General features: G+C 39.6%; 1 long non-coding RNA gene across 2 annotated transcripts in view; it reads right to left on the bottom strand.

The window, feature by feature from the left end:
• The window catches only part of LINC02842 (long intergenic non-protein coding RNA 2842), a 77,208-nt gene that overhangs the window by 20,922 nt on the left and 40,231 nt on the right, over positions 1-16,055 (bottom strand). For both annotated transcript variants that reach the window (NR_187554.1, NR_187553.1), the window contains exons 2-3: positions 15,801-15,995; positions 6,337-6,460 (exon numbers count right to left, since the gene is read on the bottom strand). This is a non-coding gene — a long non-coding RNA (long intergenic non-protein coding RNA 2842). The remainder of the gene's footprint in view (positions 1-6,336; positions 6,461-15,800; positions 15,996-16,055) is intronic.

Below are 16,055 nucleotides of genomic sequence, written 5' to 3'. Positions count from 1 at the left end.
CTCATTGTGCAATCTCTGTAGTATGGCCAGAATGACTCTGTGGTCAATCGTTTCTTATCAGGCAAAAAGGAAGGGGCATCATCAGGTGGTTGGTTGATATCAGACGTGGAGTCTCTGGAAAGGGCTGGTTTCTGTTAGGTCTTTAGGGAAGAAGCCTGATCCTAATCATGTTGAGCTAGGGAGGAAGTGTAACAAGGTGTGTCTGACCCCTCCCATCCTGTCATGGCCAAGAACTGTTTTCAAGATTACTCTCAGGTTCCCTTAGCCAAGAGATGGCACATTCAGTTGATTGGGGGCTTAGAATTATGCTTTTATTTCTCAAGGTACACAGCCCAGGGACATAGGCACACTGAAAGGCTGAATTTACTCACAGAATTATAAAACACTTACCCTCCCCTTGCACCTTACCACCACATCAATGAGGCCTCAGTATAATATCAGGGGATCTCAGCTTTAAAAGCTACAAGATGCACACTGTAGGGGCTAAGGGATTCCCTTAGCCCTCTGAAGGATCACTGAAAAATCAACTTACAAAAGGCAGATTTATAGGAGAAACGGCATACAAATTTATTAACATGCATGGGGAGAACCACAGAGTGATTATCCCAATGCCCCACTGGGATACAGAAGCTTGTTTACCATCTTGAAATTGCAGAAGAAATGGGGGTTCAGCGCATGGCCATAAACAGGTGATGATGGTAAGTTAGGATATAGTGGCCACACAGGTTATGGAGTGGAAAGAGCAGGCCTGGCTAGCAAAGGCAGTTTTTTTATATTGATGAAATCTCATAGGCAGCAGCCCTCAGAGAGAATAGATGGGAAATGTTTCTTTCATAACTTTAAAGGTGTCAGACTCTCAGTTAATCTTTCCTAGAGCCAGACAAACAAGGGCCTCAGAGAAAGCCTGGCTGCATCAATGCTGATTCTCTACAGATGCAAATCTCCCCCATAAAAGACAGCTTTTCAGGGCTACTTCTGTTTGCAGGCCATATGAACAGTCAACTCAAAATATGTCAAAGAAGTATATCTTGAGGTTAAATATTTTGATTTCCATCAATATGCTATTTAGAAAGAGATTTTAGGGAAAACCCAAGAATACAAAGGAGGCAGAAAACAAGGATACTATAGGAAATTGAAATCTCTGACACCTGCAGCAGCAGCAAATATTAAATGCAACCCATCCCCCTAACAGATTAACATAAAACCTCACAGGAAAGGCCTATTCGCCTCAGTTCCCATTACCTCATACGTCATGTCTGGCTTTCAAGAAAAAAGTTGCAAGACATATCAAGGGCATTAAAAAAAAACAGTCTGAAGAGACAAAGCAAGCATCAGAACTAGACTCAGACAAGACCCAGATTTTGGATTTATCAAACAGGGAATGTAAGATAACTGTAATTATAATTAATATGCTAAGGACTCTAATGGAAGAAGTAGACAAAATGCAAGGACAAATGGGTAATGTAAGTAGAGAGGTAATGCAACAGTGAAGTAGTACTACATATCCATTAGAATGGCAAAAATCCAGGACACTGAGAATACCACATGCTGGCAAGGATTTGGAGCAATGAGGATTCTCATTCATTGCTGGTGGGAATGCAAAATGGTGCAGCCACTTTGAAAGACAGTGTTAACAAAAGACCATGGTATCTGCAGAGGAGAAAAGGAGAGTTTTATTTTCTTAAAAAAAAAAAAAAAAAAATCTGTGGACTGGGGAGATACAGCCCCCACTGTAAAATGAAAGCCTTCCCTGAGGGGGTGAGGTTAGAGAATGAGTGATGATAAAGGCAAAACTTGCAGGGCAGGAGAGAGGAGTCAGGGGAATGAGAACAGAATCTTGATTGGGGGACCTTTAAGTCCCAAATCACCAGTCTCTCTTAATTGGCTGATTCCAGATGGTCAGTCAGTTGGGACCAGGTGGTTTGTTTGAAGTAAGTTGGGGAATTTCCAGCTGTAGTCTATCTCAGCACTGCCAACAAGAACTGATTTGGCTTAATTGTAGAAAGGGAGGTCCTGTGACATGTTTACAACATTTTTCTGCGAGCACAGAATACATAACAGCTTCCTCACCCAGACATGGCCACCTCATTCTGTTTTAACTTTGATCACCTCAGTTAGCCACAGGGAGTCCATTCTGCCTGTTGGCTAGGAACATACTGTAACAGCAGTTCAACAGTTTCTTACAAAATTAAACTTACTCTTAGTACTAGATAAAGCAATCATGCTTTTGGATATTGATCCCAAAGGGGCTGAAAATGTATGTCCAACTCCAAACCTGCACATAGATGTTTACAGCAGTTTTATTAATTGCCAAAACTGGGAAGCAACCCAGATGTTGAAGAAAATTCAAATATTTCACCCTAAAATATATTTCCTTGAAGATAGATATTAAGAAAGGCTGAAGGTGCAAGAAGAAATGAAAAGTTGTCTTTTGTAGGGGAGATTTGCTTTGTAGAGATCTGCATTGATGCAGCCTGGCTTTTTCTGAGGCCTTTCCTTGTCTGGATCTAGGAATGATAAACTGAGAGTCTGACACCTTTAAGCAACTGAAAGAAACATTTACCATTTATTCTTTCTGAGGACTGCCATCTGTGAGAGTGTATTTACATAACGAGTCCACCTTTGCTAGCCAGGCCTTCTCTTCTCCCCCTCCCATAACCTATTTTGCCACCATAATCTGTTTCACGATAATCCAAGCCCCCATTCTTTCAGTAACCTCAAGATGGTATATAAGTTTCTGAACCGCACTGGGGCTTGAGGTAATCACTCTATGGTTCTCCTTTATGTGCATATTAATAAATTTGATTCCATTTTTCCTAATAATCTCCTTTTGTGAGTTGACTTTTCAGTGAACCTTCAGAGAGTGGAGGGGAAGTTTTCTTTGGCTCCTACAATGTCTTTTAGCAGGGGAATGAATGAGTTAACTCTGGTACATTGAGACAATGAAATATTATTTAGTGCTAAAAAGAAATGAGCATCAAACCATGAACAGACATAGAAGAAATGGAAATGCATATTACTAAGTGAAAGAAATCAATCTTAAAATGCTACATACTGTATGGTCTCAACTGTATGACATTCTGGAAAAGGCAAAACTGTGGCAACAGTAAAAATATAAGTGATTGCAAGGTACTAGGGGAAAGGGAGAGATAATAGGCAGAAGACAGGATATTTAGAGGAGTGAAACTATTCTGCATGACACTATAATAATGGATACATGTCATTACAGATTTGTCAGAACCCATAAAATGTACAACCCCAGAATGATCTTTAATGTCAACTGTGAACTTTTGGTGATATTGACCAGTGAAAGTCAACAAAAGTTTATTGACAGTAACAAATATACCACTTTGGACCAGGATATTGGTAGTGGGGAGGCTATGTATGTGTGGCAGTGAAGGGTATATGGGAATTCTCTGTCCTTGCTGTCTGATTTTGCTCTGAACCTAAATCTGCTTTTAAAAAATATCTCTATAAAAATTTGTTCAGGGAAACATAAAATGATATATTCAGAAACTCAGTCTATGTAAAGAAACCATCAAGAAAAGATAAATAATATGTAGAGGTAAAAGTAAATTCTCTTATGAGACTTCCTGTCAAACAACTTTGTATCAGCCCATTACTTGTTCCCTTTTGCATTTAAAAGCCTGCTTGTAACAAAGGTGACAGAGCACTCCCCAAGGCCACTTGGAAGTGGTCCCAGGCAGCTGTCCTCACTTTGGTTCAAGTATACTCTTCAAATTACATTTTATGCTTAGGCTTCTTTCTTTTAAGCTGACAAAAACAACATATTGCATGATTATATTATATGAATATGTGTAATTAATGACAGCAATTTTATAAGGAAGAGATGAATTGGGAAAACTCTGATAGATATCAGCACTACCTATGAAGCATTTTAGTATTAAGTGTACTTTGTTATAAATGTACATTGCAAACTCTAGTGCAACCACACAAAACATTCTTTAAAGAATTATAATATTGTGAATGGGGTGAGTAATTCTAACCCTGAGGATCTAAAATCAATTTCCATGGCTTAAAAGCCAAAGGGATGGCAGAATTTGGCCACAGCTCAGGATGCCAAGAGCTTTTACTTTTAGATGCCATAGTAGCTGGGCTCCCACTGGGTTCTTTTTACAGAACAAATGAATGACACAGCAGCCTCTGCTTCCCGTTTTTAAACTATGTTTGGCTTTAAAACTCTTAATGACAAGAAATAACCTCCTACAGCAAAATTGAGGGCTTGGTCGCCAGTTGGGTGAGGGCTCCTGTAGCTGGAGTGGGAGTGTGAGCTAGGCGCAGGATACCGCTGCTGGAGCTGGAGAGCAAACCCTGCCTAGACCGGAGTGTGAGCGGGATGTGCATTTTCCACCTGCTGGACTGGGCTGTGCTCACTGAGGACAGCTCCACCTTCTCCAGTGGCAGGGCTTAAGTGCAGCTGCCACAACCCCTCACACAAGTACTCTGTCTGGCTGAGGACTGCACCATCCCCAGCCCCCATGACCAGTGCCGACTCTCATCATTGAGGGCCTCAGCACAAGCCTGCCCAGCCCAGCCCAGCCTTGCCCCCCACCCTCCCTAGACAGAGCACACAGCCCAGGGTCCTGGGGATTGCTCAAGCCGCCAACTTGGGCACCTGATCACTCTTCCCAGGGGCCTGAGGTTGTTGCTCCTAAACTCCCAGTCGCTACCAACACAGCTGGCACCTACCCGCCAGTACCACCTGCGAACTTGCAGACTGGGCCACTCAGCCCATCTCAGTCACCACCAACATCAGTGCACACTGCTGCAGATCCAGAGAATCATCTCACCACTGCTGCAGACATTGCCCATGCCACACTGACTTCTGAGGGCCTAAGAACGTGCCCCCCTGCTCAGTCTACTGCTGCCACTGCCAGAATCCAAGCAAGCCACCTTGAAGCCCAAGAATTAGCCTGCTGATAGCTATCAACACAGGTGCCAGAATACACTGCCCTGGGACACAAAGATAGGCACACCCAGCCCACCACTGCCACCACTGGCCTGCAGACTGGCCCACTGGCATCACAGTACCCAGCACAGCTTTACCACAGCCTTCACTAAAACTGCCACCCAGCCCACTGAGGAAATCACAGGTACCACTAACACTGTTTACAGCCAAAGAAATCAGAGACTACACTACTGCATGTACCCAGAATCAAAGGGAAGTATGCCACCCAACTAACACCGAGATACATCTCCAGGAAAGAGTCTTATCAGATGTGCAAATGTCAACATAAGGACACATGAAACAGGAAACAAGGAAGTATGACACCTCCAAAGAAACACAATAATTTTCTAGCAATAAACCTTAATAAAAAAGAAATTTTCAGAATCCTAGCTAAAGAATTCAAAATATTGAGTTTAAAGAAGCCCAATGAGGTTCAAGAGAATTCTGAAAAACAACACAAAGAAATCAGAATAATAATTCAAGATATTAATAGGAAATTTACCAAGAAGATAGATTTTTTAAAGGAACCAAATAGAAATTCTACAGCTAGAAAATTCATTGAAGGAAATACAAAATACATTTGAGTCCTTCAACAATAGACTAGAAATGCATCAAAGTTAAGGAATTAACTGTGGAAACTATTTTAAAATGATCATAGTTGAGATAATTTCCAACTTTTTATATTTATTTAGTTTACCTACATATTTTTTATTCTTTTAATTTGAAATGACTTTTAAGTAACTTCTAAACTGGACAAAATTATATGTTCTTGACAAATGCACATTTTTTATGCTTTTATAACTTTTCTTACCAAAAATATATCTTGCTATTTTTATACACTCTGTATACAGAATTGTTTCTTTTATATCTAGTAGTTTTAATTACATATATTAACTACAATTTTAACTCTTAGTAACCCTAATTGCTTGTGAAAACCCTAGGAAGTAATTTTGAATTATTTTATAAAACTATTTGAAGATGAAAACCACTTTATAATTTTTTGAAAGCTATGCTTCTCACTTTTTTGTTTAACAGATCTAAACATATGTAGCTGTTCTATATCATGTGAAAATAAGATAACAACATATGTTAACCTGTATTTATGTTTAATAATTAATGTTTCAGTATTTTAACTTATTTAGAAATGACTCAGCCATTTTATGATTATCTATTACTTAATTTAACATAAGATGACTTTAAGATTATGAATTACTGAAAATAATTTTGAAACTATGACTACAGGTACCCTTCCTGTCTTCCCCAGTCATCCTGGATACCAAATAGCCATGTCTATGCCCAAGGATGCCTATAAAGGAAGAACTCAAAACAGAACTCCATGGAGCTTCAGAATCTAAGAGAAAACTTACCCACAATTCTCAGTTGCTTCGAGAGAACAATGGACACCCTGCGCCCGGTGGGTCCCAAGCCTGGTCACTCAATGCTCCTGGGGGTTGCTAGATGCCCCACTGCAGGTCCCACTTCTGATACCATCTGTTGGGGAATGATTTGCAAATTGAGCAGCCACCAGAATCAGAATAGGTTCAGAGAGACTCTGTGCTGCCACATGCTTGGAGGGGATTTATGACTAGGAAAAGGAAAGTGATGTACAGAAAGCAGAAGTGAGGTACAAAAACAACTGGATTGGTTACAGCTCAGTGTTTGCCTTATTTGAACCTGGTTGGAACAGTTGGCCACCTTTCATTGGCTGAAACTAGCTTATTGGTACAAGAGTACTTTACAGACTGTTTCCATATCTAGTTAAGTTACAGTTCACTATATACAGAGTAATGTAAAGGCTGAACTTGAAATCCATGAGGACACAGCTTTAGGCTAAACTTAATTTAACAAGACTATAAAGTGTTTGCACTAGAAAACAAAGCATATTTTGAGTAGCATTAGGGTAAACAAATGCCTGCAAATTTTACAGTATCTTACAGGAGGAGGTAGGGTACTTACCAGCAGCCCCAGTAGAAGGGGGAATTTGGTGAAGTAATTCCCTGGCACTTCTAGCCTAAGAAGCTGAGCTCCCAGAGGATCCCACAAAAGCCCTTGGAAAGAAAGGGCTTTTTCAGAAATACAGAACACACCCACCAGAATGATAGGATGATAGGGTTTGAGAAATATAGGAATCCATTGCCCAGCTTGATATTGATGTGGGCACACTGTGCCCACACGCAAAGCAAGAGAGTGAGTGATTCTGGAAACAGCACTCAGTCAATGACAGACGGACAGTGGTGGATGAATACCCAGCTTCTCATCTGCTCAGCGGCAAAACAGTGAGACATGTTCTACAGTGCCTCGCTTGGGTAGGTACATCACACATCCTCACCCTAATGTGTCATGACAAGGACTGAAGTGAAAGCTACACAATTTAAATGATTGGTGAGCAAGAACTATTCAAGGGCATAACACAAAAATAGTTTTGCCTGCTGTAACTGTACACATGATTTAAAAGACTTAAGCTTTCAGGACAAACATTATAGAGGATTTTAATTTCTTCCTAGATATACTTTTCAGCCATAAACTTTAAATAAACAAACTACTTGTTCGAGGAACCTAAAACCATTGGCAAAATGCATTACATTTGTGTTTTTTATATTTAATATATTTTCTTTATTAGTTTATATAAAATATACTACTTCCACTTCTACTTATAATTACATATCTTGTTAGAGCAACAGTTAAAAAAAATGTAGTAGATACAAGTAGTCTCCCCTAGCACCTAATCATCATCCAACATATCTACCTTTTTTTTCGTCTCCTGAAAGGTTATAATTTTCTCTCTCTTTGCCGCTGCTCAAGGTATCCCAGTTACATGCACAAAGTATATCTCTAGTGCTTATGAATATTTAAAAAGCCTCTGTGAGCTGAGCTGTGCAAACCCCAAAGCTTTTTGTTGATATAAAGTTAATATGAGTTTGAATGAGGATCTTTGGCCTCCTTTGCAATATATTTAGCCATGTTACAATAGTGATTGTAGGCCGGACACGGTGGCTCACGCCTGTAATCCCAGCATTTTGGGAGGCCGAGGCGGGCAGATCACTTGAGGTCAGGAGTTCCAGACCACCCTGGCCAACATGGTGAAACTCCGTCTCTACTAAAAATACAAAAAATTAGCCGGGTGTGGTGGCGGGCAGCCATAATCCCAGCTACTCAGGAGGCTGAGGCAGGAGAATCGCTTGAACTCGGGAGGCAGAGGTTGCAGTGAGCCAAGATTGTGCTACTGCACTACAGCTCAGGTGACAGAGCCAGACTTCGTCTCAAAAAAAAAAAATAAATAAAAAGTGAGTGTAGTGTCAAAGTGCTAATACAAAAAAAGAGTAACTTAGCTCTTTTTCCCCTCATTTTTCCAGTGTCTTTTCAAATAATAGTAATTTGTATGGCCAGCTTCCCTAGAAAACAAAGCCTGAGCAAATCTTCATAAGCCAAGATGTTTGAGAGGAGCTCAATCCCAGTGAAGCAGGAGTGAAGGGGAAATGCAGAAAGGCCGGGAAGGAGGGAGGGTGAACACAGAGAGTGCATGACTGGAGGACGGGACACATTTTGGTGACAAGTTGACTGTATCTTCAAACCGTCTATCTGAGGCATGATGCAAGAGTTATCTACGGAGGGTACCCACCGCTTCCAGCTCTCATTGGTCGAGCTCTCACAGGGGGCGGTAACGCCTCCCTTCCTCCAGTGCCAATCAGATCCTTCAGAGCCTCCAGTCTTTGCAGCCCTAAGGAAGCTTCCGCACAAGGCAGGAGTCCTGCAGAGCGACTAGCAGGGCGCATCAGGGAAGGCGCACGCAGGTTGGAGTGGCTGCCATGAGAAACCAGTGACGGCGCACGACTCTCTGGCCAAAAAGCGAGACTAGCGCCCCAGCCCCGGATGGTGAACCTACAGACTCCAGCACGGTGCTTGGCATAGGCCTATCTCCTGTATTCAATGGCACATTTACAACGCTTGTGAAGTTCATCTGTTAGTTACAGTGCATTGGCTCCACTTGGCGTGACCCACTACAGATGTTCAAACTTTTACGTGTTTTGAGACTAGGAAGAAATATGTTAATTTATAATTTAATTAAAATCAATAACTCATTCTTGAAAATTAATCTGAAGAAGTTCCATGAATTAGGAGAGGAGAGGAAATCTAAATAATTGACCGTAAGGAATTAGTTGAGTCAGTGATGATGCATCAACTTAAGGGACTCTTACCTCATTTTAAAAGGGCGATTAGTTTAAAATATTGCCATATGCTTTTGACATAATGTTAAATTTAAAAAGCGGAAGATGAAGCACCTTCCAATTGTGATTCAAAATTGCATTGGTCAGGAGAGTCAAAGTCACACCACAGTAAGAAACAATATGGTTACATAAACGGATACAACACACACTGGGGCCTTTGCAGGTGTATGGTGGGAGGAGGGAGAGGATCAGCAAAAACAGCTAATGGGTACTAGGTTTAATACCTGAGTGATAAAATAGTCTGTACAACAAATCCCCATGACACAAGTTTACCTATCTAGCAAACCTGCACTTGTACCCCTGAACTTAAAATTAAAAAAAAAAAAAAAAAAAAGAAACAACCAAAAAAATCCCAGCAGCTTAGGACAACAAGCCTTTGTTTATTGCACACACACATGCCAAGTAACCATATGACGTGATAGCTATGTTCAATGGCTTCACTATAGTAACCATTGTACTATCTACAGGAATCCCATAACCTCATGTTGTAAACCTCAAATATACACAATAACATTTATTTTTAAAAAGAAAAAGGAAGTCTCCTGCGTGTTCGGGAGGTTCTCCCAGACACTGTCCACACACATTGCCCATGATTCTTCCTGTTGGGTTGGAATCAGGTGGTGAATGGCACTGCTCCCTTAACCACCATGCTATCCAGTCACTAGAATTTCTGCCTATTCCTGCGAACACATGACTGTCCACAATCAGATAGCATCAGACATGTCAAGGTCAACCATCAGACAAACCAGCATTTAGAGGATAAGCAAAAGAACAGGGGACCCTGCCCTGGATGAGACTCACAGTGGTGCTGAGGGATGGAGGGAGTTTCTGCTCAGACAGCACAAGCACAACGGACACCGTAAGTCAGCCTGTCCTTGTCCGCTTCGACCCAGTGTGCTTACTGACACATACCTGGAGTGCCTGTTCATGTGCATAGCCCATCACCCTGACAGCACAACTACAATCTTTGGACTCCGTGTCATAGTTCATCTTGTGCTGTCAGTTTGGATCCCGGTGCTAATGTTACTCATGAGAGTCCAAGAAGGTTGAGTCCAAGACAATGGATGATAATCGCCCAACTTACTACAGCACAAACACTTTGTGGAAATGGGCACTTAACTGAAAATCTCTTATTCCAGCAAGAGAGGTCATATTTTCCATTTATTTTACAACACTTCTTCAGATCCTATGTGGAGGTCTGTTTTCCTAGAAAAGATCATTTATTCCAGTCATTTAGAACTAAAATTCAAAATCTGTGCACCCTTGGTTATTTAATATAGATAACGGGAAAAAAATCTGAGCATATTATGGGTTATTAAACACTAAAATGTGCTTCTGAAAAAAATTGCAGGATATCTTCATGTGAAATTCTTTGGTTCCCTATGGAGCCAGGGATCCTGACTAGTTGCTTCTTGAGGTGTTTCCCAAACCTGGGATGCTATGATAGGGGCCATAAAATCAATATGCTGAGTTGAAAAAGATTATATCTCAGCAGCTGGTGAAGAAAGCAAACCTAAAATATTTTAGATAAGCATTTATTGTTCACTAAATAAGTGTGCTGCCTTAGCAAAAGGAATTACCCAGACTGCAAAACTGCAACAAACTTGGAAAAACCTTTAAATATACAGAATATTTAATATATCATTTAATGTGAAAAAAACGAAGAAAGTCTTTCCTTAAAGGAAATATCAAATTTCTCTAATCACATTCTTGTTTAACAACAAGACTATAGTTTAAAAAAATTCAAAGGAATAGCACTAAATCCAAACTATAAAAGAATATTAATATATAAATTAAGTGGCACATATCATGCCATACAGTTTTTTAAAACGACATATAGTGTTTTTAGCCTGGGCACAGTGGCTCGCACCTATAATTCCAGCACTTTGGGAGGCTGGGGCAGGTAGATCACATGAGGTCAGGAGTTTGAGACCAGCCTGGGCAACATAGCAAGACCTTGTCTCTATTTTTTAAATCCAAAAATATTAGCCAGGCATGGTGGTGCACGCCTGTGGTCCCAGTTACTCAGGAGGCTGAGGTGGGAGGATCACTTGAGCCCAGGAGATGGAGGCTGCAGTGAGTTATGACAGTGCCATTGCACTTCATCTTGGGCAACAGAGTGAGACCCTGTCTCCAGTAAATAAATAAATAAATAACATATGGTGTTTTTACATTTCTTTATATTCATAGATAAAATATTCAAGCAATTATTTTTATGTGTGGGTTGTGTTCTAAAAGTCACAATGTATTTTTCCTGAAGAACAATGGTGTTTTTGAGGTCAGACTATCTTCCAAAAGTTCATTTAACTCAAAATATTATAGAAAGATAGTACATTTGCAAACAAAGTTAAAGTAGACTAAACAAAAGTTAAGTAATAAAGCAGACTGTCAAATTAACATACAAGAAACAGTAGCCTTCAATACAAAAAATAATCAGAAGATATAATGTATGAGAGAGCCCCATTTCCAGCAAGAAAATAAAATATAAAATACTTAAGAATGAGCTTAACAAGAAATTTGCAAAACCTCTATAAGGAAAACTTTAAAATACTCCTGAAGAAGATTTCAATAAACACAAAGACATCCTTTGCTCTTTGGGATAGGATGATTCAACCCATCATTAGTATATGAGTTCTTCCTCAGTTGATTTAGAAACTTAACATGATTAAAAATAAATAAATGACAGGCATTTTAATGGAGCTAGACCAGTCAATACTAAAATCAATAGGAAAAAATAAAATGTTAGAATAGTTATGACAACATTGAAAAATAAAAACCATAAGGAAGTGAAATCCTACCAGATACGAAAATAGACTTTGAAGCCTCTATAACTAAAGCAATGTGGTTCTGGCACCTGAATAGACTGACGGGCCAGTGGAATCAAATACAGAGTCCAGGAATTGATCCAAGAAAAAATGGGAATGTAATGTATGATGATGATGGTGTCTTACATTACTGGGGCAAAAAATTCAAAATAAGCCATTTGAGGACAGGGGCAGTAGTTCACATCTATAATTTCAGCACTTTGGGAGCCTTAAGCAGGAGGAACCCTTGAGCCCAGGAGTTCAAGACCAGCCTGGGCAATGTAACAAGACCTTTCCCCGCCAACAGCCTTCCCCATCTCTACAAAAAACAAACAAACAAACAAATTAGTTGGGCATGGTGGTATACAACTGTAGTCCTAACAGTTCAGGAGGCTGAGGTAGGAGGATCGGTTGAGCCCCCAGAGTTCAAGGCTGCAGGGAGCTATGATTATGTTACTGCACACCAGCCTGGGTGACAGAGAGAGAGCCTGACTCTAAAACAAGCAAAAACAAAGACATTTGAAAAAAAGATGAAATTGGATCCTTAACTTGCACCATACAAAATAAGAAATTCCAACTGACTTGAGAAATAATTGTTAAAAATGAAACCATGCAAGTACTAGAACACATGGAAGGGTTCTTCCATAACCCACCATGGATAAGGAAAGGTTCTATTCATTTATCAAATCTGGATGTGATAAAAGATAATAACAATATATTTAATTACATAAATATGTGGTTTTTATAGCTTATATGTATTCTATGTTATGTATAATTGTGTTAAAAAATAAATGATATTCAAATATATATTTTGCATTTCAGAAATATGTGATGGCAAACTGGGAGAAAATATTTGCAGCATGTATGTAGTAGGTGAAAAGCACTGTCTTTTGGTCTTAGGAACCCAGTTAAGGGATCTACTTGAGATTTAAGAAGCAAGAAATGGAATACCAGGCAAAAACAATAAAGTTGCACCAAGGTCTATATGGGATTGACAGCAAGACATTTTATCTGAGCCCTAGTCATTGTCCTGTGCATTCTGAACCAGGTAGGAACTAGAGTCTACATTTGGAAGGAACTGCAAATGAGTGCCAAGTGATCCAGTTGAAAAATTAGAGACATCAGCAATTCCATGAAGATGTCACCACCCTAAGTGTCAATAGAATCCCTGTTATAATAGTAGGATATTGACCCATGAGTTGGATAAAATTTGTTCATGACCTTATAATAAATGTTGCTGATTAAACCCCAGAGTTCCACTTGCCTTAATAACTGCCCTCTGGTTTTCATTCAATCCCCCTCCTCCTCCTACAAGTGCACTGTGCCCTATATCACTCAGTTCAGGCAAATACTCACCCATCTGCCTTTCTGCCTTTCCCAGGCCCAGCCATGTATGGTTATTTAGGTTGTGCAATCATAAATGAGCTTAAAAAAGTCTTTACTACAGATAAGTAGTACTGATAGATACGTTTCCAGCCTCTCATACAGTCCTGGTTGCGTGTATCAAACAGTTCTCTGTAAGAAGACACAAGCAAATCTCTTGGACCTTAGTTTGCTTTCTACAAAAAGATTCCTGTTATTTAATGCTAAGAAAAATCGTAAGTACTGAACTTATTTGATCATCAAATTGAAGATGTAATCTATTTACAGGGGTAACATTATTTTCCGTACTACTAGGAAGAAAAATAGCTATGAATTCAACAATAACATTTCCTTATTATTTTGAAACTTTAATTATATTTATTGAAATGTATTATTTAAGTTTAGACACAGATTTTTATCATATAGTACTTTTATGCATACATTAAAAGAAAAACATAAGTGAAATAAGTTGGTTAAAGTATTTCAAAGACTTCTTTGTATTTCCTACCCAACTATTCAGAATCCTATTTCAACACAAAGTTATCAGTGTCTGCTTTTCCACATACTGTGCCATTAACAGTATCAGTGATGTAGCACTTAAAACAATTCACAAAAATAGACTCATAGCCATAGGTTACTAGAGGATAAAAGTTGCTTCAATATAGCAAACCTGCACAAGTACCCCTGAAACTAAAATAAAAGAAAAATCTAAATGTTTACCATCACTTTGGCTATCTAAGAATGTATATAAATAAAGTTATCATTTCTTTAAAAAAAAAAAGCTGTTTCAATTTTGCTTTCTAGGTTCTCTTCTACTAGATTCCCCCTGAATGTGCAATTAACCTTCCTTTCTTATTCTTGGACACATTGACACATAATACTTTTCCATTTACTTTTAAATCCTATAAACCATTTCTATTGATGAGACAACTCTGCCCATTTTGAAAACATTAGGATTAGGCCATTAGTTTTTTGTTTGTTTGTTTGTTTGTTTGTTTGTTTTTGAGATGGGGTTTTACTGTTGTTGCCCAGGCTGGAGTGCAATGGCACGATCTCGGCTCACTGCAACCTCGGCCTCCTGGGTTCAAGCAATTTTCCTGCCTCAGCTTCCCTAGTACCTGGGATTACAGGTGCCCACCACCATGCCCAGCTAAATTTTTATATTTTTTGGTAGAAACGGGGTCTCACTATGTTGGCCAGGCTGGTCTTGAGCTCCTGACCTCAGACTATCCACCCGCCTCAGCCTCCCAAAGTGCTGAGATTACAGGCATGAGCCACCACGCCCAGTCTAGGCTGTTAGTTTTTAATAAAATGCCCACTGGGTAAGTTTTAGCCCGTGTCAAGAAGAACATGAAAGTTACCTATTTGAAGAAGGTTTAAAAAGTAAATACCCTCACTGTTTTGCCATTGACATCAAAATAACAAGTTTTTAAAAATGGCTACAATCTTTCTGAGTTTGTAGCAGTGGTTCACTTGGAGTCTCACACTGGTTTTTCTGGTCCTAAGAGTGGTGGTTTCCATACCCCACTCCCAGATGCTCCATGTTAGAACAGGTCTTCCCACTCTGCTGAAATAATGATAGTGTGTCTGTACTAAATGACAAGAACCCCTGTGGGACCTAGTGCTCATCTGACAGGTGTTCCCAGATCTCTAACCCCATATCTCTGCTGCTTATATTTCCCATCTAATTCTGGAAATTTACATGTGAGGAAGAGTAACTTTTGCTCTGGTCTATTGGGGATTTCTTATGAAGAACAGGTTGCTTTTTTTTTCAAAATTGTGTGATATCCCCATAGGCTTAGGTTAAATGAAAAGAATTTATGTAGCCATAATTGCTATCATATTTTCTAATATACTGTTTTATAAAAAGGTATGATTTACAAGTAAAAAGCCATATTAAGTCTCCAATAACAGTTTCCTAAGATTTCAAATGTCTGCATTCTTATAAACATTATACTGAGCACCTCATCATTTTCTCCCTGACATAATCTAATTTATCTCCCTTTAGACCACAGAAACCATCCTTTTCTCATTTTCCAAAGGTCTCTATGTTGTGAAACAATATCATTTATCTTGATCTTTCTCTGCCTTCTGGTCATTTTTAACACCATTAACGGCAACAGCTTCTGCAGAACCACTTTAACTCCTGCTTTCAAGTTTGTCACAAACCCCTCAGTTAGTTTCCTTAAATTTTCAGTGGAAGAGAATTTCCAATTCAGCACTCTGCTGATAACAAACACTGTGTCCTTGGCAGCCTGCATCTGACCCTGAGTGCCTTCATCTAAAGCAGTACAGTGTAGTTGGACTCTACTTGGAAACATATAGCTTAGCAGAGAAAGGACAAGGCATGGGGCCAGGCAGGACAGGATTCATTAGCTTTCTACTGCTGTGTAACAAATCACCACAACTTAATAGCTTAAAATAGCACACATTGGTTACCTTGCAGTTCCTGTGGATTTAAAGTCCAGACATGGCCTTAGCTGGGTCTTCTGTAAGCTGCAATCCAGGTGCCAGCCAGGATTGAATTCTCACCTGGAGGCTTGACTGGGGAAGGATCTAGTTTTAAGCTCACTCAAGTTAATAGAGTTCATTTCCTTGTAGCTGCAGGATTCATGGCAGCTTGTTCTTCAAAGCCTGCAAGCACACCAAGATTCTAGACTGAGTCAGCTGGTACTATGGAGTCTTCTATGACAT

This window comes from Homo sapiens, chromosome 8, assembly GCF_000001405.40.
Source record: "Homo sapiens chromosome 8, GRCh38.p14 Primary Assembly".
NCBI classification, from domain to species: domain Eukaryota; kingdom Metazoa; phylum Chordata; class Mammalia; order Primates; family Hominidae; genus Homo; species Homo sapiens.
Note: the sequence above shows the minus strand (reverse complement) of the source record. Positions and strands in the feature narration are given on the sequence as shown.